Below are 27,213 nucleotides of genomic sequence, written 5' to 3'. Positions count from 1 at the left end.
TATAGGAATAATATCTTGATTTTAATCGTATAATTTTTAAACTGTAAGGCCAGGCTTTTAAGAAAATCATTTTTAATGTGAAAATTAGTCTCCTCTATATCAAACCCAGATATATTTTATTCTCTAAAGACAAGGTACACGAAAGGGAAAGTAGTTGTCAGATGGGATTTAGCTGTTTCTGCATGGCAAAGACGTGTGCAGTAAAACTAGGCCACTCTTTATATATGACTTTTTCTAAGTATTTTCTCTTTGACAGTTATTTCTGCTCTACCATGAAAAGTTTTTCTTCTCAAACCAGTTGTTCTTTTTTCCAGTAAGTTTTGTTTTGTTTTGAGTAGTTATATAATAATTATGTCATTCTAACTGAAAATACTTTAGCAATGGAAATTTGAATCTCAAGTTTACTTTTGGTTGATATATTTACATTCTTTAAAGATACTGCTTCATATATATTCCTGTTAAATTTTGCATATCTCTCCTTCCTTGAAGACTTTTGTTTCAATTGAGAAACCAGGTTCAATACATTAGGACTCTCTTTCTGTAGACTTTATGTTCTGAAATATTGGGGAGGGGGGTGTATTTCCAGGCTTATTCCATCTTATATGAGCCATGTCCTAGTATTTTGTTGAGCTGCCTTTGAATTCCCAAATCCGATGATAATCTTTCTGTTTTTCTGCCCCTCTTGTTACTACTTCATCAATTGCTGCTAATCTTGTAAGCATTTTGTAGGCTGTGTTTTCCCTCCCTCCAGCTTTTTAGTTTTCCAATCTTGGTTTTAGTTATCTAGCAAACAGCCTTCACTTGATGATGAACCTGCTAATATAGTGCTGTTATTAGGGAGAGTATGAATTGAATAGTTCAAGATAGATCTTCCATTGGTGAGGCACTGGGACCATAACTTGCAGGAAATATTCTACAGTTAGCAGGAATGTGTATATACGTATATTAGAAATACTGAAGTTCAGTATTCTGTTACATGAATTTCTTTGATATTAGGCATTTCCGTATTATACTTCCTTTTTTATTTACTGTTGTTTCTACATATTCTTCACATCGGGGACCGGCTGTAAAATAAGCTGCATTTTCCTAGCTGTGATTGTGATGTAAGCAAGATTCTTTGGTTTCCAGCTATTTTTTTGTTAAAGTCACTGGCATTTTCATATTTTGTTGAACATTACCAATTCTTTGGTCTTTACCAGTACAGTAAATACTAACCAAAGAAATGTAGATTTACCTTAAGTTCTGTTTCATGGTGGGCAAATTATTAAGTTGATTTTAATGATTTTCTATAATAGTATTATATGAGCTTTTCTAGGAATTCACTTCAAAATTAAACAAACATTTTAATAGGAAACATCTGAAAGATCTAGTTTGTGATAGCTAGTGATTGGATTATCAGATGTTATCTGGAGGTACAAGCTAGCCAACCAGTAGAACGGTGAGCCAGTGCTGTCTAATAGAAATATGATGCAGACCATATGTGTAATTTTAAATTTTCTAGTAGTTACACTTAAAAAAAAAGGTGAAATAAATTTTAATATATTTTATTTAACCTGGTATATTCAAAACAATATTTCAGCATTTAGTATAAAAGTGAACAAGATGCTTTATACTTAAAACATCAGTTCTGGCTAGCTGCATTAGAAGTGCTCGGTGGTCACATATGATGGTGGCTGCCTTATTGCACGATGCAAGACAAAACATTTTGAGAAATACAAAAACAGCAGTTCCAGAATTATTGGTGAAATTAAAATACCAGAAGAATTCAAGATCGACAAACTAAGACTGTGGCTGTGCTTTCACAATTTTTAAGGACTGAAGTAGAAATATTCTTTTTCTGTTGTTCATGGAACACATTTTAATGCAGATAATTGCTAAACCATTTGTTGCAGCAACAAATCATTCACATCTTCAAGTATATTCAGTTTTAAATATATAATCCAAATAACCCAATATTGGAGATTTTCTGAAGGTGAGATGTTAAGACACAGAAAATGGAATTTATATCTCAGGTATTGGACATCCATTATGAAATATCAAATCATATAGAATTATTTTCCTTTAAGGAGGTTAGTAATTAAAAGTTTAGTTTTTTGTATTTTTCCTTTCATATGGAATATTTCAGGTGCTATTTAGTTAGAAATATGATGCTTATTTTCTTTATGACATGTTTGAGATATATCTCAAATGTATGATTTAGAACCTAACTGACTACAGGAATAGTAACACATTTTTCTGATGGCTGTGAATAGAATAAGATTCCTTTTGTTTTTTGTTTTTTTGCCTATTGTAGATGCAGGATTTCACAAAGATGAGGAAAAATTAGACATGATAAGGTAGAAGTAACAGACAGCAAATTGGATATTGTTTCATACAAATTGTCCTAATGACCTAGTTGTATTTTCTCATCTTTTATTGAAGTTATATATTCATAAATAATTTAGTATTTCATTTTTCAGCATTTAAAAATATTTTTTATTTTTTTATAGAGATGGGGGTCTTGCTGTGTAGACCAGGCTGGTTACAAAGTCCTGGCCTCAAGTGATCCTCCCATCTCGGGTCTCCCAGAGTGCTGGGATTACAGGTGTGAGCCCCACAGCGCCTGGCCCATTTTCAACATTTCTATAGGTATATGTGCTTTGCGACCTGGGTTTAAGAAAGTGGTTATTGACACTGACACATATTGTAATCAACTCAGTAGATTTTAGAACATCAAGCTAATGACCTTACCCTAGACCAATTAAAATGCACTTCTAGGATCATCTTTAACTGTAACCCTGAAAGTGGAGTCCTGAACTAGAGAAATGTGCTACTTGTCTTACTGATTTTTAAAAATGCATTAAAATTAATACTATAAGGAATGCTCTTTAAAAATGGTGGAAAATAAAGTGGAAATTTTAAATTTGTCATATTAAATCATAACATTTGTTTTTATTTCTGTCTTCAGTCCATTTCTCTCATTGCACAATTGTATTCCCATTCTAATTAGGAAATTCTGAGATAATAATCTTAGGTCTTCTTGTATGATTTACCCTGTATGTATCATCACGTCTTATAGAAAGATATTGAATGTAATCACACTACTATGATCTACTTCAGACACCCTCATGTTCTAATTGCTTTCATGGTGGTATTGAAAGTTTTTATTAAGCATTTTATGAAACGTATTATTTGCAGTAGATATTTCTTTATTTTATTTTTATTTATTTCTTTGAGATTGAGTCTTGCTCTGTCACCCAGGCTGGAGTTGTGGCACGACCTCGCTCACTGCAGCCTCTGCCTGCCTTGCTCAAGCAGTTCTCCTGTCTCAGCTTCCTGAGTAGCAGGGACTACAGGCGCACGTCAACACACCTGGCTAATTTTTTTTATATTTTTAGTAGAGATGGTGTTTCGCCATATTGGTTAGGCTGGTCTTGAAATCCTGACCTCAGGTGATCCACCCGCCTTGTCCTCCCTAAGTGCTGGGGTTACAGGGGTGAGCCACCACGCCCAGACTGCAGTAAATATTTCAAGAAAATTTCATAAATGAAAACATAGGTACTGTATTTTGATATCTCTTGGACAAATTATTAGAAGTTTACTTTATATTATAAGAAGAGTACTTTCAGTTTTAAAAGTAGCCAGAGAACCATAGTGTTAAACCTAAAAAATATCTACCCCTTTGGAACACCAAGCTAACAACACAGCAGATTAGAAGTACCAGAATTTGCTTTTAGTTCACTTGTGCTTGTTGTGGTATTTTTGGAGACATTACTGTTGCTAGCACTACCTAATTTGTATTGTGAAATTATTGAAGGCTAAAGCTGGTAATAGCTGTTTCTGTAGTTATCAAAACAGGATTGGGTCTAATTTCTTGTTCTACTTGATATTGAACTCAATTTTATATATGAGACTTCTTTTAAGAATTCCCTAAAGAGTGAAGTGTTTGCTGCTGTAGCTCCAGTGTATACAAGTGATTATATTTACCAAAAAGACAAACTGTAAACTCTTTTGTTTCTTTTACCAGTTATCTTCCTTTCTGCCCTCTGTCTTCATTGCTTTCACTTTTCCTAAATTAGACTTACTGTTTATAAGCAACCTTGGTTTTACATAGTATGTTGGAAGAGTGTGGTGCCGGGGTTGATTTAAGATTTGGAGGTGTAAAGTTTGCCTTTGAGACACCAAACCTTCTATGGCTGCTTTTAAAACTGATAGTACTCTTGGGCTGTAAGAATGACTTTGATCATATTTAACAATCAGCAATAGAATTTGACTTTTAATAGAAAGTTGCTTCTAAATAGCCTATCCTCAACTTGTCATTATTGTTCTCATTTCCCCATCCCACAGTCCTTGTATAACTTACTAGCTTGGACAGTTTACCTGAGAAATTGGCCTCAAAGCAGAAAGAAACTTAATGCTAATATTAAACTATTTTTGGGTTAAATTATTTTTCTTGGGTTCAAATTCAGTCCCTGCCAGGTAGTGTTTTTTTAGTTTCTGTAGTATTTGATAGCAAGTTGATTCTATTTACAACTTAATAATGATTACATTAGGAACTATTTTGCTTTTAATTCAGTTTGTAGATTAAGGAGGCATTATATAGATTTTTTAGTAATTTTTAGTAACTTTTTTTTAAGTGAAGAAATTCAAGATTCTAGGTTATTACTGGTGGAGGCATTAGTGTGTTTCATATCATAGCTCATTGTTTATTGATGAATTCATACACACATGCAAAAAAAGATAATAGATGCTCAGCAGAAAAAAAGTTCAGTAAGTGCTGAACAGTGTGCTTAACGTAGCAGTGGACAGAAAGGGGCATGATCTTTAATTACAGTGTAAAAAGTGCTGCAACTGGATTGTAGGAGAAGAGCCCATACATTACAGGGGCAGGTAACCTTTTCTGAATGGTTTGTGTAAATTCTTGATCAAAGCTAAGATCTGAAGGATAATTTAAACTTTGATAATTATAGCTATATTTTAGTTTTAAGGTCTAAGGAATATACTAGATAATTTGTCAGAATATCTAAGTATAATGATAATTTTTCTTCAGAACTATAAAATTACACAAAGTCTGTCTTTTCAAAGTGAGATAAAATTTTGGCATCAAAGCTAACTTTTAAATTATGATGAATAATACATAATTACCAGAAAATTCTTATTTCTGAAATAAAATTATTCAACATTATTTTTATCTTAGAGTATGACTTTCTGTCTCATATTTTTTAGAACTGTCTACTGCCAACATAATATTAAACTATTGACTAAAAAGAATTTAAGATGTATGTTAGCCAAATCTCAGAGAAAAACCAATGGAAATATTGAGAGAAGTAATTTAGGTATCTCTTGCCCCACTGCCTACCACTAAATAAAATTACAAACAATAAAATGTCCTAGGTGGTGATGCAATGAGAGGCACTAATGGTGTGGTAAGAGAGATGATGGTTCACTGGGAGCACTAAGGAAAGGTCTCCTGGTGAGAAAATATGTAAGGCCATACCTGAAGAGTTAGAAAATGCCAGACATGGCTGGCCATGGTGGATCACATCTGTAATCCCAGCACTTTGGGATGCCAAGCCTGGTGGATCACAAGGTCAGGTGTTTGAGACCAGCCTGACCAACATGTTATTGCTCCTAAAATACAAAAATTAGCCGGGCCTGGTGGTGCATGCCTGTAATCCCAGCTACTCAGGAGGCTTGAGGCAGGAGAATTGCTTGAACCTGGGAGATAGAGGTTGCAGTGAGCCGAGATCACACCACCACACTCTAGCCTGGGTGACAGAGTGAGACTCCATCTCAAAAAAAAAAAGAAAGAAAGAAAATGCCAGACATTTATTGAAGAGCCAGAATGGTATAGTGAAGTGTTGTGAGTCAGCTGGGCTCTGATTGATACAGAGCTTGGCATGTTTGAAGGACAGCAAGGAAGCCAGAATAGCTGGAGCATAGCAGCAGGGAGACAAGTGCCACATGATGAGTTAGAGAAAGGCACTGGGAAAGGTTTGTATTTTAAGTGCTCTGAGAAGCAATTGAAGGTTTGAAATAGAATAGTGACTTGCTTGATCACATTTGTACTTTTGAAAAGTTCCTCTGGCTGCTGTGGGGAAAGGTTTGAGTAGATGCAGGGTGGGAGAAGCATAACCAGCAGTAGACTCTTGTAGCAGGTTAGGTGAGAGATGGTGGTGGCCACGAGTGTGCTGCTAGTGGTGGAAGTGACAAGAAGTAGAAGGATTGGAGACAAAACTTGAAGATAAAAAGTCTTGAATTTGCTGATGATTTGCATTGACGAAGTGTTGGGGGAGAGGACTGAAGAAGCAGAGGAGAGTGACAAGGGACTGGATGCCATTTATAAGGATGGGGAAGACTGGGATGAAACCGGTTAAGGGAGAAATTTTAAACATGGCAAACTTAAGAGGGGTTTTGTGTGAGAAAATGGAAATGCTAAGAAGGAAGTTGAAAATCCTTCTAATTTGGAGATCTTTGTTTAAAACCAGAAATAAGAATGTGGGAAGCATCAACTTCCAAGATGTCCTCATTGTAGATAATACCATTTAGGATCTAGGCTCAAGCCCTGGGAAACTCCAGGGCTTTGGAAGTCAAATAGAGGAAGAACACGTACAGGAGATGAAGAAAGATTAGCGAGGAAGTCAGTGAAATATCCACAGGTGGACTGCTGCCAAATCCAGCAGAACAGTATGACAGATGTCAGGAGCATGAGTAAAATGAGAAGAGAGAAATGGCTTTTGACAACAGTTCCCTATTAATAGTAGGGAAGAAGACATAGGTACAGATTCAAGTTGATTGGAAATTATGAAAGTGAGGTAATTGACCTGCAGTGGTTGCTGCTCAGTGAAATCAGCCTAGTGATTACCTGAGCTAGGTTAGAGATTTGATGGGTAAGAAAGAACACCTGAGGGTAATCCTGGAAGGGAAAAAATAAAGTGTTTGCTGGAGAGAATGAGTTGGATTGCTGGACTTCAATGTGTGCGGGTTGAGTTTGTGACTTAAAAATGAAACCAGTCTATTGCTTGTGTGGCTTTTCTCAAAATACTGTTATTCAATTACCTATCTCTTACCCCAAGAGTAGTCACATTCTTATTTCTGGTTATTTTAATTCCTGGTGGTATTTTTATGTGATTAATGAGATAGTACTTGTTAATTTGATGATATTCTAGAAACCTGGTAAGTACTATGTACCTTAAGTTTTGGTTACTTGATTGGTAAAATTATGCATGCACCATTGAATTACCTAATTCAAAATATATTCTTTTATTGTTTGACATTTGTCTTGTTTTTCTTTAAAATGTTATCTTTGTGGAGTAAACATTTTTCTTTATGCTGTTTAGCATCTTCAGATTAGTTCAGGGTATTGCTGAATGTGGTTGTTCAGAAGTAAAATGCTTTAGTTTTAGTTATATAGATTTTAATAAGATAGTACTTTCTACATAATTTATCAGGCACTTTAGGCATTTTAATTTGCAAATTTAGGACAATTTGCTTTAACGTTTCTTCACTTTTGTCCATTGGATGTAATTTCCATAAAGTATTCATTTCCCTAAGTAAAAACCGAAACCAAACCGACAACTAATGGTCACTGAAGAAAGAGTGATTAAATGCTAAGATTATAATGGTATTTGCATTTTAATGTTACCAGCTCTCTACAGTTAAAAGTGTATGCATTTATCGATTGCTTATGTTTCTCATTGCATTCTTTGGCCTACTGGTTTTTGTTGTTTATAGCTATAGAATATAGAATTCCTTGTGGTTATCCATTTCTCCTTTTAAGTAGAGTGATAGTTGTTAGAAGAAAAATAACCCCCCAATACTTTCTTCTAGTGTTAATTCTTAAAGTGTGATTGACGTTTATTTACTTTTTGGTGCAGTAATTGCAGTTCATGAGTCAAAGTTGATGTCATATAAACCCTAATTTTTAATGTTTCATTGTAATGATGTCTCTGTAGCAGCAAACATTTAAGTTATTTGTTATAGTTAAATGTTTAAATCACTGTTAGTGATTAGCTTATTTTGCCTTCCTTGAAGCAATTTGTCCTAAATTTCCATACGTTTGCATTTGTTTTTGCTGTCCTAAAATTCCTTAGTTGCTGGCTTTGACCTTTTATGTTGCTGAGTTTTACACATCTATTTTCTCAACTGCCATATCTTAGGAGGCTTGGAGTACCCATAATACAGTGAGCCCACCCTCCTGGTCCCCAGACATTTCAGGAGGTCGGGAAATTTTTAAACCCAGGCACTTCCTAGCAGTGCAATTTGGAGCATCAAAGTGGTACATAAAATTACATTTACATTCATATATCATTTCGGTCTGATTTGTTTTGCCCTACTGGATGTTAAGAATTAAGTCTTTCTTTTCTAGATTGAGTTTCCAGAAACGCTTTTTAAATCTAAAAATTTTAATGTAAAGAAATAATATGCTTGCATTTAAAAATCAAGTATACATTTTTAATACCTCTTTTTATGGTTAATTCCTTTTGTTGTGATTACTACTGGTTTTATGAGGGAGAAGTCCTTGACGTGTAGAACAAAAGGTAATTAAGGATCTTTTCATTCATGATATCATAAAACTTTGTTGCTTAGAAAAAAGCAAAAGAAAAAACTCCATTAATTTATTATGTTCTCATGGAGAAGAAATACCAAAATTGTGGCAGATTTCATTGTCTGTTTAATACCTTAAAATGACAAGGCTTTTTCCCCTATGACATTGGTTGATGGCTCTGCCAGTCCTTGAAGTGAGTTAAGTAGTGTGATGCATTTCGGAGAGAAAAAAATTACTTTGAAAAAGTATTAACTCAAAAGTTAAAAAACTTCATTGACTGGAGATGACAGTTTTTCTTCATATTCTATATTTAATATTCTGGAATATGGCTGTTTAATTTAGACTAATGAAGGATTTTAAGGAATTCTAGATTATACTTTATTTTCTTTCATGACTGGAAGAACTATTTTTTTAAACTCCCTACCTCCCCCTGATATCATCCAAGATATTGAAGTATAAATATGCCTCATTTGACAGTTTGATAATATAGACCACCAGTTTTTACTTAATTTTTTTCTGGGTCAGCATTTCATGTTAGAGAAAATAAATTGAGAGACTACTGTAGTCTTGATTTTTAATCACTGACTTAATTTTTCAAAAATCTTTTATACCAATTTAATAACACAAAACAAACTCGGCTGGGTGCAGTGGCTCATGCCTGTAATCCCAACACTTTGGGAGGCTGAGGGGGCAAATCACTTGAGGTCAGGAGTTCGAGGCCAACCTGGCCAACATGGTGAAACCCCGTCTCTACTAAAAATACAAAGAAATTTAGCCGCGCGTGGTGTCATGTGCCTGTAATCCCAGCTGCTAGGGAAGCTGAGGCAGGAGAATTGTTTGAACCCAGGAGACGGAGGTTGCAGTGAGCCAAGATCGCACCATCACACTCCAGCCTGGGCAAAGAAGCAAGACTCCGTCTCAAAAACAAACAAAAAACCCAAAAAACTAACCTGACCCCATCCATCCGTTGTGCAAAGAACCTGATGCACTTCTCTAAAGGGATCTCAAGGAGAGCAGGGTAAGAGAAGACAGGAGTGGCAGTTTGAAACTGGGAGCTGGCTGTATTTATTACATCCAAAGGGAGAAAAGCCATTCCTCCCGTTCCTTTTGTTCATGTGTATCTATTTTATGTTTACAGTATCACCATAAATTTTTGACTTGGAAACCATTCTGCTAAATAGGGAATAAGTTCATTTCAAACTATGATAAGGGACATCAGTTGAAGATATGACATATTATTTAACTTATCATGAGGGAAACATCTAAGTATTTTCCTGAGCATCTGGATAATTTTAAATATACATAATTCTTCTACTTAGGTAGGTGCCAGGTTTTTTCAAGGAGTAATTAATTAGTACAAACAAGGGTGAGGGGGCAGGGAACACGATACTCTGGTACTTAATGTCTGAAATTATCAGGGAATTTAACACATTTTCCCATAGGTTTATTTCTTGTGTAAGAAGTCAGATAAATTATTTCCATTTCAAGTATTTATTATTCAGATTATTTAAAGCAAAGCTTTCACAAAGCCTTTTGTCAGCTTTCCTGTAATCCTCAAATAATTTTTCCTGGCTGGATGCTTTGGCTTACTCCCATAATCCTGGCACTTTGGGAGGCAGAAGCAGGAGGATCACTTGAGCCCAAGAGTTCTAGGCTGCAGTGAGCTGTGATCACACCACTGCAGTCCAACCTGAGTGACAGATCAAGTTCTTGTCTCAAAAATAAAAGTAATAACAATAATAATAAATTTTCCTCTAAATACAATGGTGAATGAGGTAGAAATGTTGAGTTCATAAGAGAACTGTTGAATAGTGAAGGAAACTGACTTAATTTTAATGACAGGAAGAATACTGTCACACACTAGCAAAAATGAACTTTCATGCTGATGTAGCAGTACAGAATATGCTTCCAACCCAGGGACGCTGGAGCCAGGCTTGCTAGCTAAGTAACCTTGGACAAGTTACTTAACCATTTTATTCCTCAGCACACTCATCTCAAATGAGGATAATAAAACCTACTATATGGGATGGATGAGAGTAAAAAATACTTAGATTAGTACATAGTAATTACTCAATAGATGTTAGCTATTACTGTAATCACTGCGAGACCAGTTAATGAGAGAGTTTTTCCTTATCCTTACTCTATATTGAATACGATTTGTTGCACTTCGAAATATCTGGATCAGGCTACAGTTGTTGTCATCACCGAGAATGTAGGAGTGGGAAAGAGAAAAATCATGCAAAGGCTTGCTGATAGCGTTCACAGTGACAGGCCTAAAGTATGATTCTAAGGTTGTAAGCATTTTATATTTAGATTTTTAAGTTGTGGAGTATACTTTTAAAGATAAAAATAATAAGCCAGGTCTTTTAATACTTATCTAAAGAAGTGTTTGTATAACATTTAATAAAATGTTTTATCTCAGTGGCATTTGGATTTAAAAATTATTTTGGGCTGTAACAGAATGTTGACTTTTCCTAATCTGTTACATAGGGCCATGGGTCTGGATTTCCAAGAAAGTGGAGACCTCGAGGTGCAGGACTGTCGGGGCGAGGTGGCCGAGGCAGGTCAAAGCTGAAAAGTGGAATCGGAGCTCTTGTATTGCCTGGGGTGAGGCTTGCTTCATGTATATTTTCTCTAATCTAAATGTCAGTTAATGATGAAAATCTCATAGCAAGTTATTTTGATTTTATGAGTCATATAAATAGGTCAAAATGTTTATTTTACTGTCCTACTTTTCTTTTTTTTGAGCCTCTGGTTACATTTTCTTGTATATTTACTTTCTCACCCTTTCTCTTTTCTTACCTTCCTCTTTGACTCCTTATCTTTCTATGCCAACCCTCTCTAAAAAGTCATTATGTAATATAGTTGCTCTTTTATTTAAAAAATTTTAAGATTGATAGATATTTGCTTACTATCATGTTATGAAGCTTTATTTGTATGTGTATTACAAATACATTTGCTAACTACTAGCAAATATTTTATGTAATAACTTCGCTATTTTATTAAAATCCTGTTTTTAAAATTCTGAAATGTCATTTTAAGTATAGGAGACAGGTGAAATTGTTCAAGTTTACTAATAAACCAGGAATAAGGAAGGTTAGATTCTCATCCTTTTTTCAAAAAGAAAAATTTTAAAACCAGGCTTATTGAGGTATAGTTGATATAAGCTATATTTGACTTGACATGTACAATTCCATCAGCTTTGATATATATATATACACCCTTGAAAACGATACCACAATCATGACAGTGAATATATTCATCTCCCAACGTTTCTTCATGTCCCTCTGTAATTTTCTGCATTCCCCCGCCATCCGTCCTTGTCCCCAAGATTAGTTTGCATTTTCTAAAGTTGTATATAAGTGGAATCATACAGAACTGTATGCTTTTTGCACTGATTTATTTCAGCACAATTATTTGGAGATTCATCTATGCTGTTGTATTTGTTAACAGTGTACTCCCTTTTCTTGCTGTGTATTAATTAAACTGTGGATGCACCACGGTTGTAGACCTGTGCACTTTTTTTTCTTCTTTTTTTTTCCTGAGACAGGTTCTCGTTCTAATTCCTGGCTGGAGTGCAGTGGTGCGATCATAGCTAACTCCAGCTTTGACCTCCCACCTCCGTCTCCCAAGTAGCTGGGACCATAAGTGTGTGCCACCACACCCAACTACTTTTTTAAAATTTTTGATAGAGACAGCATCTCACTATGTTGTCCAGGCTGGTCTCGAACTTCTGAGCTCAAGCAATTTTCCCACCTTGGCTTCCCAAAATGCTGGGATTACAGGCGTGAGTCACCATGCCCCAGCCTGTAGTCTTACATTCTTGTAATGTCTTCGTCTGGTTTTGGTATCAGCATAACTCCAGCTTCATAGAATGAATCAGAAAGTATATTCTCCTCTTCAGTTTTCTGAAAAAGTTGTGTAGTAGTGGAAATGTATCTTCTTATATTATACATGAATTTATTAGTGAAACCATCTTGGCCTGAAATTTTCTTTGTGGGGGGTTTTTGTTGTGTTTTCTTTTTTTTTTTCTTTCTTTCTTTTGTGATGGAGTTTCACTCTTGTTGCCTAGGCTGGAGTGCAATGGCACAATCTCAGCTCATGCAACCACTGCCTCCCAGGCTCAAGTGATTCCCCTGCCTCAGCCCCCTGGGTAGCTGGGATTACAGGTGCCTGCCACCATGCCTGGATAATTTCTTTTTTTGTATTTTTAGTAGAGACAGGTTTTCACCATGTTGGCCAGGCTGGTCTCGAACTCCTGACCTCAGGTGATCCACCTGCCTTGGCCTCCTAAAGTGTTGGGATTACAGGCATGAGCCACCATGCCCAGGCTGGAGTGCAGTGGTGTGATCTCTGCTCACTACAGACTCCACCTCCCAGGTTCAAGCAATTCTCCTGCCTCAGCCTTCTGAGTAGCTGGGATTACTGGCATGCACCAACATGCCTGGCTAATTTTTGTGTTTTGGGTAGAGATGTGGTTTTGCCATGTTGGCCAGGCTGGTCTTGAACTCCTGACTTCAGGTGATCCGTCTCCCAAAGTGCTGGGATTACTGGATGAGCCACCAGTGCCCAGCCTGTGGGACAGTTTTTAACAACAAATTTTATTTCTTTAATAGGTACCTATTTAGGTTATCTGTCTCTCCTTTCATAAATTTGCATCTTTCAAGAAATTTGTTCATTTCGTCTATCTTGACAAATTAAAGGAATGGAGTTGATCATAATGTTTCTTATTATTTTAATACCTGTAGAATCTGTAGTGATTTCACCTTCCTCATTCTTGATACTAATAATTTGTATCTTGTCTTATTTTTTTCCTGATCAGTCTGTCTAGAGATTTATCAATCTTATTGATCTTCTTGAGTCAGCCTTTGTTTTCATGGACTTTTCTCTATTTTCTTTCCCCTTTCTGTTTTATTGATTTATATTCTCATCTTTATTTTTTCCTATCTTCTCACTTTGAGTTTAATTTGATCTTCTTTTTTTGTTTACTCTTACGTGTCCCTGCTTGGAAGGGACACTTGTGAAGTTTAGGTCAGAGCTTTCTATTCTCCTTGGCTTATATCTGTCGTCTAGGAAAATGATATTTCTATCACCTTCTGGATAAATCACACTATTATCTATGCAGGCAACAATAGCACATATTTTCTCAAAGACTACCTTTGCCCTCAAGTTAGGTTTTATTTTTCTAGCAGTCTAAAGGTCATGAAATAAATTATAAAATAAAAACAGTGGGTCTTCAAGCTAGATGATACTGTTTTCTTTCTTGCATGGACAATTATTTTAAAATATTTTGGTTTTTCTGCACTTATTATTTAAATATGACTCCCCACCCCCACTTGAATCTAGGGACATTGTAGTTTTCTACTGCAGACTTTATTTCTGGTTTATACTGGGAATATATTGTTTATCATTTTCAATGAAAGCATTCACTGGTTAAACTTCCTTTTAAAAATAATAATGGATCTTTACAATTTCTTTGAGCTGCTCAGTGTGTATAATGTGTTGAATTTTCTGTAAGTGGTTGGGAGGTAGAAATAGATACTTTATCTCTATTTTAGCCATTTCCAAAATTATATATCTCAATAGTCTTGTCAATGCATCATTAGTCCTATGACTGAATTAATGATTACTTTTAGTAGTCACTTAATTTCTTACTGATGATGATGATTCTACTTCTGTGAATCATCTTGGATGATTCTCTAAAATCTTAGAAAGCTGATTTTGTTAATGCTATGCATATAACACATCAATGCATTTTCTCTATTAAAAGAATTAAAGTGTTATAGGTAGATCAGAATTTACCATTACTAACTCCTCAGTCCTCCTTATTTCCCTGTTACCAGTTTGGTATATTTATATATTAGGTTGATCCATATGAAATTGCCAATATTATTTCTGAACTGATGAAAAGCAGCAATTTCTTATGAGTCAACCTATTATATGTGCCCATAGACTACATATAATGAATTTGCATGTTTTTATATTATAGTGCTATACCTCAAATACTGTTCTGCAATTTATTTTTTCACTCAACAGTGTCTTTTGATAATTTCTTTCATGGCAGTCTATACAAGTTTCTACCTCCCTACTTTTAAAATGTTTCGTACTTTCCTAATGTTTGGATTTGTCATTGCTTTACTTACTCCCTAATGATTAATATTGGCATTATTAACACTTGTAGTCATTAGGGTTCATATGACTATAAATTGCTCTTATAAAGCATTAGTACTATCCATTAAAACTGCTTTTAGGCTGGGCACGGTGGCTCATGCCTGTAATCCCAGCACTTTGGGAGGCCGAGGTGGGCGGATCATGAGGTCAGGAGATCGAGACCATCCTGGCATCCTGGCTAACATGGTGAAACCCCATCTCTACTAAAAATACAAAAAATTAGCCGGGCATGGTGGCAGGCGCCTGTAGTCCCAGCTACTCGGGAGGCTGAGGCAGGAGAATGCCGTGAACCTGGGAGACAGAGCTTGCAGTGAGCCAAGATTGTGCCACTGCACTCCAGCCTGGGTGACATAGCGAGAGACTGTCTCAAAAACAAACAAAAAAAAACAAAAAAACTGCTTTTAAATGTATTTGTATTGAAAAATACCGAGATGTAGTCCTTCTATTTAGTTAACCAACCAAACTTCCTTCCTTTTTTTTTTTTTTTTTTTTTGGGAGACAGGGTCTCGCTCTGTCCCCCAGCCTGTAGTGCAGTGGCATAATCTTGGCTCACTGTAACCTCTGCCTCCTGGGTTCAAGTGATTCTCCTGCCTCAGCCTCCTGAGTAGCTGAGACTACAGGCGTGTGCCACCATGCTCGGCTGTTTTTTGCATTTTTGGTAGAGACAGGATTTCACCATGTTGCCCAGGCTTGTCTCGAACTCCTGAGCTCAAGCAATCCACCCACTTTAGCCTCCCAAAGTGCTAAGATTATAAGCATGAGCCACCACACCCAGCTGGTTAATCTTCTTTCAGTTGTTCCTCAAGAAAAGTAATTCAGTTGTATTATGTTTTGACCTTGAACATAACCTGTTGTGTTTCAACTGTCTTTCCAGGCTTCGATTGTAAGCTTTTTAAAGAAAGAGGATTGTATTTTATGATTTTGGCAGTGCCCTCCTTGTCTTCTTCTACAACTTCTAGTTCAGAGCTTTATTTTGTTTCATAATCACTCTAGAAATTATTAACAAACCAGTGGGTATTTAGTTGATTTAGTCAAATAGAACTAAGCCCAGACTGAACAATATTGGTTGATAATCATTTGGCTAATACTGAAATTTTGATGTTATTCAAAATAATATTCTAAAGCGGTGCTAATAGAAATATAATGAGAACCACATATGCACCTTAAAACTTCCTAGTAACCACATTAATAAGTTACAATGAGCTGGGTGCAGTGGATCATTTGAGGTCAGGAGTTAAGAGACCAGCCTGACCAATATGGTGAAACCCCGTCTCTACTAAAAATACAGAAATTAGCTGGGCATGGTGGTGGACAACTGTAATCCCAGCTACTTGGGAGGCTGAGGCAGGGAGAACAGCTTGAACCAGGAGGCAGAGGTTGCAACGAGCTGAGATCATGCTATTACACTCCAGCCTGGGTAACAAGAGTGAAACTCCTCTCAAAACAAAGGTTATAGTGAACAGGCAAAATTAATTTTAATGCCTTCCATTTCGATATATCTAAAATATTACCATTTCAACATGTAATATGTAATTATGTGCTGTATTTTATGTTTGCAGGACATCTCAGTTCAGACTAACTACATTGCAGATCCCAAGTGTGTGTCATTAAAATAGTGATAGATTTGTGTGTGTACATACATATAATATTATCATTTATAGTTTCTTGATTAGAATTCTGCATAATCAAGTCTTACTAAGACAGGTTTATTATATTTTCTCATTACTTATTGGTCTATAGGAATTCTACCTCTAAAGAGAGAATTAGGTGAATAATAAAATGTCATGACTCCATTTTATAGTACTATCTTAGCATTAATATTTGGAATTGTTATTCTAGACCTTAGCAAAAATATATGTTTTGATTATGAATTTTCTGAAGCTTTCCAGTTAAGTGTAAAACAAGTGAAAAATATAACTTCGTATTTTGTGTATTTTGCTTTTTTATAGGTGTCTACTGCAGATATTTCATCAAATAAGGATGATGAAGAAAACTCTATGCACACTACGGTTGTGTTGTTTTCTAGCAGTGACAAATTCACTTTGAATCAGGTTTGAACTTGACAATTTACTGTCTTCCTCATTGAATTCCTCCTTGCACATTTCTGCTTTATCTCATATACACAGAAGTGATCCAATATTTAGCTATAGAGCTATATTAGTTAAGAAGGTATTTTTAAAGTAAAATTTGTAGGTTTTTAGCTTAGTCTCCATTTAAAATATGTTCTGTTTTCTTAACTTCAGGATATGTGTGTAGTTTGTGGCAGTTTTGGCCAAGGAGCAGAAGGAAGATTACTTGCCTGTTCTCAGTGTGGTCAGTGTTACCATCCACACTGTGTCAGTATTAAGGTAAACATCCTTAAATTGAGTTAACAAATACGTATTGAATTTTTATTTGGTTTTAGTAGTAATATGAGCTCCTAGTTCTCACAATTAAGTATTATGATTATTAAACATATGTGACAGTATTTAAGCACTTTAAATACTGCTTTTAAGGGTTTCCTATCTCAAGAAATTTGCTCCTCTATAAATCTTATATTGTACTAATATCCTGCTTTTGTCTTGAAAAAGTAAAACATAAAAATATATGCATTTAATTTAAAAGACAATTTATACTATTCACAAAGATTTTAGGTTTAGGTGATTCATTTTGTCTGTTGATTTAAAAAGCTGAGAACTGGAGTATTTAGTAAAAAATTATTGGCCCATTCTATTCTTTCCCGCATTCTCTCTCCTCTGTGCTCACTCATATACAAAATGAGATTTTCTCCTTATAGCCAAAAGAAACAAAACAAGTGTCATATTTAATGCAATTGGTAATAATCGAGAGTCAGCACTGCTCACTTTCAAGCATTTCAGTATAGAGGCTTTCTGGGGAACGTTTTAAGTGGTATTGTGTGCTTGGTTTTAAATATGGACAGGTCTCAATACTTCACTAGTTGTATCTAAGGTTCTTGGTTTTTTCTTTTTAAGAACTCAGTCTTAATAAAACTTACATATTTGAATAAAGTGTCATGGCCACTGAAAGCAAGCATGGAGGTATAGCTGTACAGCAGAGGTCTTAAACTGTATACTCCATGGACCTGACTGTGGCCTGGGGGTTGGGGACCCCTGCTATAGAGGATTCAGATTTAAATTCAGAAGTTAGAATGAAAAAGAATTATATTCTTTATCTAAATGATTTCACAGTTAACTGAGAGAAAGTCAGTATAAGTTGAAAAGTTTATCAGTGTTAATAAGAATGAAAAATATGTACAATATGCAATTACTATTAAATATAATTTGCCCATAGTTGCACACTGATTTCATTATCATGGCAGTTAAGTATCAGAGCTTCTGGTTTCTCACTCTTCATTCATGTATTCAGCAACCATGTGCTAAGGTACTAGGACAAGCACTGGATTAACAAGATAAAGATGATACGGTGCACCCCTCAACAACTGTATGCTATAATCCGAAAAAACAAACAGGCAATTCCCATACAGAGTCATACATACAATGACAGGCATAAGACACCACTTACTGGAAGACATAGAAGGGATACTAGCCCAGGTTTGTGTCAATATTGTAGGCTTTTTGATAGAGGCAATTCATAGGTTGATATCTGAAGGGGAAGGAAAACACATGTAGGATAGAGGGAAGAAGTAAATGCAAAGAGGTGGAGGTGAGGATGATCACTGTGGAGCTCCGTGTAGTCTAGTTTGGCTGGATGCTAGAACAAAGGTGCAGAGTATGGTAAGTGGCGAAAGATAAGGCTGAATAACCTGACAAGAACCACACTGATGTGAGAGTTTTGATTCCATGCTAAGGAATTTTCAACTTTTCCCAGGTGCAAAAGTAAACCAATGACAAAGTCAATGACTAGAGATTTAAAATGTCACTGGTCAAGTGACTGCTTGTGACCTGTAATTGCTTAACCAATTATTATCACATGAGTGTGGGGTCTGTTAGCCTTAAATCACTACCTTAACCTTGAGAAGTTGATGATGCCTTTGTTTTATGAGAACAGTTTCAGTGTGCAGGCTGACAGTTCTATAGGGGTGGCAGAAGAAAAGTGTAGGGCCAGAAAAAAAGAGATACACAGACTTCTTGTGATTTTTTTTAAAGCTATGGAACATGATGAAGTAACAAAGCATAAGTATACTCTTCACTATGAATGATTATGTTTTCACATCTTTCACTAGATGTGTGTAAGAAAAAATATTTAATGTAGCATGTATTAACCAAGCAATTGAGAGGAATACCATTCACTACTTACAGTTTATTTCAGAAATCAATGATTTGAATTTAATTCATAAATTTTGGCAACATACCTTCATCTAGCTCTTGAACACCTGGCAGCATCTGAAATAAATCAAATATTACTTATAAAGTTTCAGTCAAACAAGAGACATTATCATGTAAACCCACTGCAAGTCAAGGAGCTTCTGTACTGTAGATTGATCATCCCTAAACTATAAATCTGAAATCCAAAATGCTCTACAACCTGAAACTTTTTGAGCACGGACATGACACCACAACTGCAATGTTCCACACCTGACCTCATGTGACAGGCTCTGGGGAAAACAGTAAAAACTTTGTTACCTGCAAAAAATTACTGTAAAATATTGTAGAGAATTACCTTCAGGCTATGTGCATAAGGTATATATGAAACATAAATGAATTTCATGTTTAGACTCAGGTACCATCCCCAAGATATTTCATTAGGTATATACAAATATTCCAAAATCTGAAAAAAATCTACTTTTGGTCCCAAGCATTTTGGACAAGGGATATTTAACCCGTCCTACTGGAAAAATAAAATTCGTTTTCAGTATGACAGAAATTAAGAGATCAGCTTACCAAACTTGAACGCTGCAGGATTTTCTCAAGCCGCTCAATTTGGTCATACTGTTTTTTAATCGTTTTTCTCATCATGGCATTTTCTACTTCAAGCCTAAAATGTGCATTTTAAAATAATTACTCTCACATATAATTGTTTTTAAATCATGTAAATTCTAAACAAACTTCTGAAGGTATAATTACACAAATTCTTAACAAACACAAGAGTAGATGACTGGGCTACTGTGTCATTTTTTCTACCTGTGTTTTGTTGATAATATGCAAAATTTAGGAATAATGTAGAAAAATGATGTATGTCAATATAGCTTACAGATGAAACATTTTTGGCTTCACAAAGACATACTTATCATAACTGATACAATTTTCATACTACAGTGCTCTTTTGCTTTATAAATACTCAAGTTATTTTGTGTGCTGCTTCAAATTTTACTTTTGTGCATCACCTTCCATCTCCTTAGTACATCTTATAGTAGCTGTAAGTTGATCCTGTATTTCTTGAAACTAAAACAAAGAATTAAAAAAAATTACATTTGGAAATGACCTAAATGTCCATCAGTAGATGAATGAATCAACAAAATATATATAAAATATTTTAGACTATCACAATCTTTTTTATTTAAAAAAGGTCAGAATCTAGGATAAATCATCCCATTACCTGTTTTTTGTAATTAATTTTAGTGGGACACTGCCACACCCCTTCAATCTGCATATTGTTTGTGGCTACTTTTGTGCTATAACTGCAGGGCTGAGTTATTGCAACAGTGATATTATGGCTCACAAAGCCTTAAATAATACTATCTGGCCCTTTACAGAAAAGTTCACAGACCCCTGCTCTAGGACTAAAACACAACATTCTTCTTGCTTTTGTATTACATTTTATCAGTTAAATACTCAAACTTGCAAACTGGTAAAATGTGGAAAGATAAAGGATTACCTCATGCTAAGCATTTATATTTTGAATTCCAAACACTACCACATCAACTATAATTTTATTTTTTGTATGTATGCATTTAGTTTTATTATAGCAAAGCAACTTGCACATTTTTAAATATTTAAAACTAAGCGTCATCTTTCCTTTCTAGGGAAACAACAAGAAAATTTAAAAACAAGCAGGAACAAAATTAAAATCGACAAAGTCAGTTCCAAATAAGATCCTACAGGATCTTATTGACTCTCCCATTGAATAGCAGGACTCAAGTCATCATTAGGAGAGAAGTAATTTAAAAGCGTCATCTTAAACTGCAAAGATGTCCATTAAACATGCCAAAGGAGAAACCTTGTTGTCTAAATGCCCACTTAACCAACCCGAACATCTCAAACTCATCCTTTGCTGACCTTATATAACCCCCTTTTTAGTTTAGCTTTTTCTATAAATAAGAGAAAATAGATACATGTTGGCAAATGCTAACTGTCCATATTCATATAGAGACAAAATGTGCTCTCTGAGCCCAATAGAAAGAGAGTAAGGATTTTCATCAAAATAAAAATTTATTCAGTAAAATGGCCTTTCTGAACAAGTTAACCTGAAATCTATGAAATAAGTAAACACAAGTTCTTTATACGTTCAGAAAAGTAGAGACTAAAAATAAGATAATTTTCTGAAACATTCCATTAGACACTGTCCTCTGAATTAATCTGGCTTGCCTCACCATGCCAACAGAGAAATCATTAAAAATAGACTGTTTAACAGGTAAAAAAAAAAAACTCTCTCAACTTCTGTGAGAAATGATGCATAATTCTCAACTTTCCTAAGGTTAAATATTTAAGAAAAAAATATGTATTAAAAATGGCAGAATAAAAGAGATTAAGATATAGGTGCATTATAATAAAATTTTAATAAAATTAATAATAAGGAAAATACAAAAGAAAGCCATCCACTATAAAATTTTAATAAAATTAATTATAATAAAAATACAAAAGAAAGCCATCCACTAAAATTAGTACCCCAAAACACTTTATATTAGTTAACTAGCTACAGATTAACAGTTGTTGGCATGCAAAGTTTCATACATACTTGACTTCTCATCTGGTCTAATTTCTTCCTTGAATCCTGCATCTCATTTTCTAAATAGATGCAATGACGCGATGAAGCATCCAGCAAAGCTTTTGTTGCTGATTGTTTAAGACATCATCTTGTTTTCATTGAAGCTGTCTCACAGCTACCTGATGTTATTTTTGTTACTGATTTTACAAATCACCTTATTATTAAACCATTAATAATATTTAACTCTAAAGCATACACTTTGAAAAATATCACCACACAGATCGATTCACCTTCTTTTCCTCATGTGTACACATTCCTGTGTATTACTGAATCCAGTTAAGGATACAGAAGGTGTTATCTTCCTGCCAAACTGGTATTGTTATTCACACAACATATTCAGCCCACTAGTCATTCCTCCCCTGATGAATCTGCAATGCTTAAAAACCTGAAGTCTCAAAAAGAAATGAGTATGTGGTTGAGACCGATGGTAGTAAATTATACATTGTGGAATGATTTCCCTCTTTCTTTTTATTAGAAACTCAAATCAACCTCAGAGTTCGTCACATTAAATCATCTGCTTAAATGCTTCCAATAGATGTCTATCTCAGAAGAAAAGTAAAATTACAGTGGCCTTAGATGCTCTAAGTAACCTGCCCTCCACCTCCCACCCTGACTCAGCTGCTATATCTCTCCTCCCTACTCACTCCATTCCTACTCTGAGTCCTGCCACTCCTCGTTAGTCTGAAATCCTCCTTAGTCTGAAAATGGGGATGCAGTGTCAAACTAATAAATCACAGATAGCTATGCCTCTTTTGTCCTGGACAAAGTTATATCCAAATGATAGTAATTGAGCCTTGAAATAAAAATTAGGAGCAAATTTTTTATTTAAAAATGAAAGTAAATTATAAATGCCAGTGGGAAGATTAAATCAAATATGATTTGGCTAAAATTTACTTCATTTTCCCCATATTATAAGTAAAATTAGATGCCTTTGAAAATAGAATGATCATATCTATACATAACTTGAGATTGAAATAGTTTCAGATTTAAGTCAAACTGACATGAAGAAGAACAAAATTTTACCTACTAAGACATATTTAAAGCTACTGAAGAAAAGTAATTATGAAATAGGGAATACACTTCAGCTCATCTAGGAAATCTGAAATTAACTGTCAAAGTACCCCAATTTATTGAATCAACTTCAAAATACCATTTTAGGTATGAGCATTTCCATATATCTGATTTATCATGGTCTTAAAATGTTGCAACATAAATACATTAAAATTATTATTTCAGTAGTATGACTATATTATTACTATTAGTCTATATTAACATTTTATAACTTAAAATTTTATAAGTGACACATTGACTTTAATCAGAGGAAAACATCTCTCAGATCTAACTTTGACTTGTTGGAAACAAGGAATGTTTCTAAGCAGTTATATTTATCATATGTATCCTTTTTTATATTCAACTAGATCCAACATTCAGCTGTAACCAAATATTACTTTAAATTGTGCTTCAGGAAGTTTGAAAAATACTTATTTTTCTTGATACTTACTTCTCTTTCTGCTTTCTCTTTTTCATATTGACGTTCTTTTTCTTTCAAATGATTCAATCCATTGACCAACATTTTACTGTTTTCTTCTAGTAAAAGACGGTGCTTTCTGCACTCAGCTTGAAGGCTTTCTACTCTAGCATGACATCTGGCTTGAATATTAAGTATTGCTTTTTCTTGATTGTCAGCTTTGTTGCGAGCATCATCCAGTTGCTGTTGAAGCAACATATTTTGTTTTTTTAGTTGACAAAATCTTTCCTGCTTTTCTATGCATTTTTCCATTGTACTGTATCCACTTTTGTACATTTTTTCAGTGTCCTTCATTCGACTCTGTTTTTGCTTTAGCTCACTTTGCACGTGTTCAAAAACCAAAGCCTTTTCTTTCAGAGCCTCTCTTGTGTAATGGAACTCAGTTTCGAGGACTCTGGACTTACTCTCAAGCTTTGGAAAGTTGCAGAGAGAAAGAATCAGAATACAAACATTCAAATTTTCCTGTAAATGACACCATTTATCTACTGTGCCCTGGAAAGCAAGCTCTTGATCTCTTTCTGATGAATGACTTTGATCATGATCACATAGAGCAGCATTGAGTCTACAACCACATGATTGCATTTCTGTTTCCAGTCTTTGCCTGCTCTCTCTTTGCTTCTCCAGTTTGGAATGCAGCGTTGTGTTTTCATCTGTCAGAGCAGCAAGCTGTCCACTGTAACAGGCTATCATTTTTGCTAATGTTTCCCCATTCCGTTTTAGAGCCTTTTGAAGGTCTTCACGCTTTCTTTTCACAATTTCAAAGTCTTTTAAGTATTTATTTTCCAGGTTTTGGTTTCTTATTGTGTCTTTTTCCAGCCTGAGCCAGGCAATTTCATCTTGCATCAAGAGGTTTTCATGCAGCAGGTCTTCTTTTTCATCAGTTTCAGAAATCTAAATAAAACAAAGAAAACTTGTAACTAGTATCCAATAGGATAACATATTGTGATTGTTTCTGAAATTAAATAATAACCCGTACATTTATACAATGAGAGGTTGCCATAACTGTATATCTAAATGGGAAAAAAGAAGTTGAGTCAAAACCTCAAACCTCATATGGCATAAATTCCCCAAAGTTCAAAAGTTTATTTGAAGACAGTGAATCCATGAAAGCAAAAAAGAAACCACTAGATAATTTTTTTAAATTTCAGGATGAAAAAAGGCTTTTACTGAATTACAACAATTTGCAAGGCATGAAGAATTAATAACTATGACCACATTAAAAAATTGGGTTTACACTCTAACATCTAAACTATACCTCTCCCTGTAGTGAGAGCCTTAGCTTGGCAGACATTTGGACAGATGAATGACATTTTCCAAATTCTTTAAGCTCCCTTTTTCTAAAATATTGTCTAGATATTCTACTTTTCTAATATTTTTATGGTCAGTTTTAAGAATGATATTTATTGATAAATGATAAGTCTAGGCATTGTACTAAGCACTTTTACACACACAAATCAATGAACTCATTTAGTTATAATTCTATAGCAAAAGGTTAAAAATATAAGGAAGCTGCAGGATTTTTCCCAGCTTTTCTGACTCTAATCCTAGTGCTCTTCCACCAAATCAATAACTTCTGTGAGGTAGATACATACATACAAAAATAATCTTCTATTTCAAGACACCAAAAGTCAAGAAAATTAAATTTATAAAGCTCTTTTTAGAAAATCATGAGATTATTTACTATTGTGATAACTTTTATTTCTTTTCCATAACATTTGAAACGTAATTAACATGAAATAGGGGAAAATATGCTGAACTATGTCACTAGGAACAAAATACTTACAATATCATTAAGTATATATTAAAGAATAGCATTGTTTACATAAGGCCTTTGAACTAAAATAAAATATTTCAAGATTTATTATAAATAATTGTAGCTATAAATGCCATGATTCTTTTTTTTATTTTTTATTTTTATTTTTTTTTTGAGACAGAGTCTCACTCTGTCGCCCAGGCTGGAGTGCAGTGGCGGGATCTCGGCTCACTGCAAGCTCCACCTCCTGGGTTCACGCCATTCTCCTGCCTCAGCCTCCCTAGTAGCTGAGACTACAGGTGCCCGCCACCACGCCTGGCTACTTTTTTTTGCATTTTTAGTAGAGACAGGGTTTCACCGTGTTAGCCAGGATGGTCTCGATCTCCTGACCTTGTGATCCGCCTGCCTCAGCCTCCCAAAGTGCTGGGATTACAGGCGTGAGCCACCGCGCCCGGCCCACCATGATTCATTTTTAAGATGAAATAAAATTTGGGGACTGTTTAGGTCTAAATAATATACATTAAATGAAAGAGATATTGTAAGTAATATTAATGAGTAGAAATATGAAGTTTTACCAAGCATTAATTTACCTGATTTGAATTATTTCCTCCTGTCTTCAATTCCACCTCCACTGATTCAAGAGCCGGTTTAATTTGTTTTGTCGTATCAGCTTCTATCTTCCATTGCTCTTTTGTTATTCTTAACTTTTCCCTAACTTTTTGGTGCAACTCTTCAACATTTCTTCTTTTCTTTTTTTCTTGCTGCATGGCAAATCTGTAAATATACTTATCTTAGAATTTATCTTATCAGTGAGGACTAAGCTCTAATTTTTTATCTTGCCCAAATTCCTACCTAAGGGGTCCAGGGAGTCATGCTCTACAAACCATGGATTCTCATCAGATGGGTTTTATTTGACCCTGTATATTGTGACTTGCTTTTCAATCTGACTCTGGCATAACATTATGAGACAAGGAAGAAAATATTTAATCCAAAATATATTTCCTTGCCATGCCTTGAAATTGCCCTGCAAAGTCTCTTGTGGGAAAAATCCACATTCTATAGAGTACCCCCTTTCCCCTTTGTTTTCCTTCCTTTCTATGCAGATCCAGGGGATAATCAGCTAACAGCCAGGCACCCTTTTGGGTCCGATAAGAAACATTTTACAACTGCTCTCTCTGAAGTCTGCTGAGAGATTTCTCTGCACAATAAAACTAGGTCTCCACAATCATTTATCTTAACCTGAACATTTCTTTCCATTAATCCCAGCTCTTCAAATAAACTCAACCAATTGTCAACGAGAAAATGTTTAAATTTACCTATAGCCTGGAAACCCCAGCTTTGAGTTGGCCTGCCTTTCTGAACCAAACCAATGTATTTCTTAAATGTATTTGATTGATGTCTCATGCCTCCCTAAAATGAATAAAACCAAGCTGCGCCCCGACCACCTTGGGAACATGTTCTCAGGACCTCCTGAGGGCTGTGTCAGGGGCCACAGTCACTCATATTTGGCTCAGAATAAATCTCTTCAAATATCTTACAGAGTTTGACTCTCTTTGTTGATATTAGAAAACATTCGTATGTTGGTTTATTATCCTAAAGAAATTTCTATGTTCTTAAATATTATTTTTCTTTCTAGTTCTCATGTTTTTAGTTTCTCACCTAAATCTCATCCAAAGGACATGTGTAAGTTGAAATGTATTGATAAAAGAACAACCTGCATAAGTTTCTGTTACTAGTAACTCCAGCAAATAGTATGAAAAAGGATGTTGAAAATTATTCAGTAAAGTTACAGGATAAAAATTATCTTTTCTTCACACAGTAATTACTCCTCAGTTAGGATGAATCATTTAGTTAATTAACATAAAGTTACTTTTTATAAACAAGTTGATACATTCACTAGAAATACATTTTCATCTTCATGAAACATTCATTGCAAGTATCCCTAAACATAATTTATATTGTAAGATAGTATTTTTGATGTCTTTATGAAACATATCTACAGATTATTGTAATCCAAGACTAGGTTAAGAATGTAATATGTTACCCTACACTTTTTAAGATTGTTTTTTGGGTAACACTTCCAGTCTATCCTGTTGATTAGTATGTATTTTATAACCAATTTTAAAATATGTTTTGGAACAACACAAGATCTAATATTTAATTAAATAATAAAGAATAATACATGTCTTCAGCATAAAACTGAATTAATTTTATCTACATAGCAGAGACAGAGATGTTGAATAAGCTAATCAGTAATCACTTTCTATTTTACTTTTTATTCCCTGCATATTAAGAATAAAACTGGATTCCTTTTTTTTTTTTTTTTGCGAGGGAGTCTCATACTATCAC

The 27,213-nt window shown here is 34.8% G+C and overlaps 1 long non-coding RNA gene and 1 pseudogene across 1 annotated transcript; one reads left to right on the top strand and one right to left on the bottom strand.

Annotated features, from left to right (window-relative positions):
* The first annotated feature begins 11,008 nt into the window (after positions 1-11,008).
* On the top strand, positions 11,009-17,988 carry LOC105379557 (uncharacterized). The gene is made up of 3 exons (XR_001756172.2): positions 11,009-11,134; positions 16,648-16,749; positions 16,942-17,988. It is a non-coding gene; the product is annotated as an uncharacterized LOC105379557 (long non-coding RNA).
* A 950-nt stretch (positions 17,989-18,938) lies between these two features.
* On the bottom strand, positions 18,939-26,430 carry LOC729369 (ankyrin repeat domain-containing protein 36B-like; annotated as a pseudogene).
* Between the last annotated feature and the right edge of the window lie 783 nt (positions 26,431-27,213).

This window comes from Homo sapiens, unplaced genomic scaffold, assembly GCF_000001405.40.
Source record: "Homo sapiens unplaced genomic scaffold, GRCh38.p14 Primary Assembly HSCHRUN_RANDOM_CTG23".
NCBI classification, from domain to species: domain Eukaryota; kingdom Metazoa; phylum Chordata; class Mammalia; order Primates; family Hominidae; genus Homo; species Homo sapiens.
This window is presented reverse-complemented; position numbering and strand designations above follow the sequence as displayed.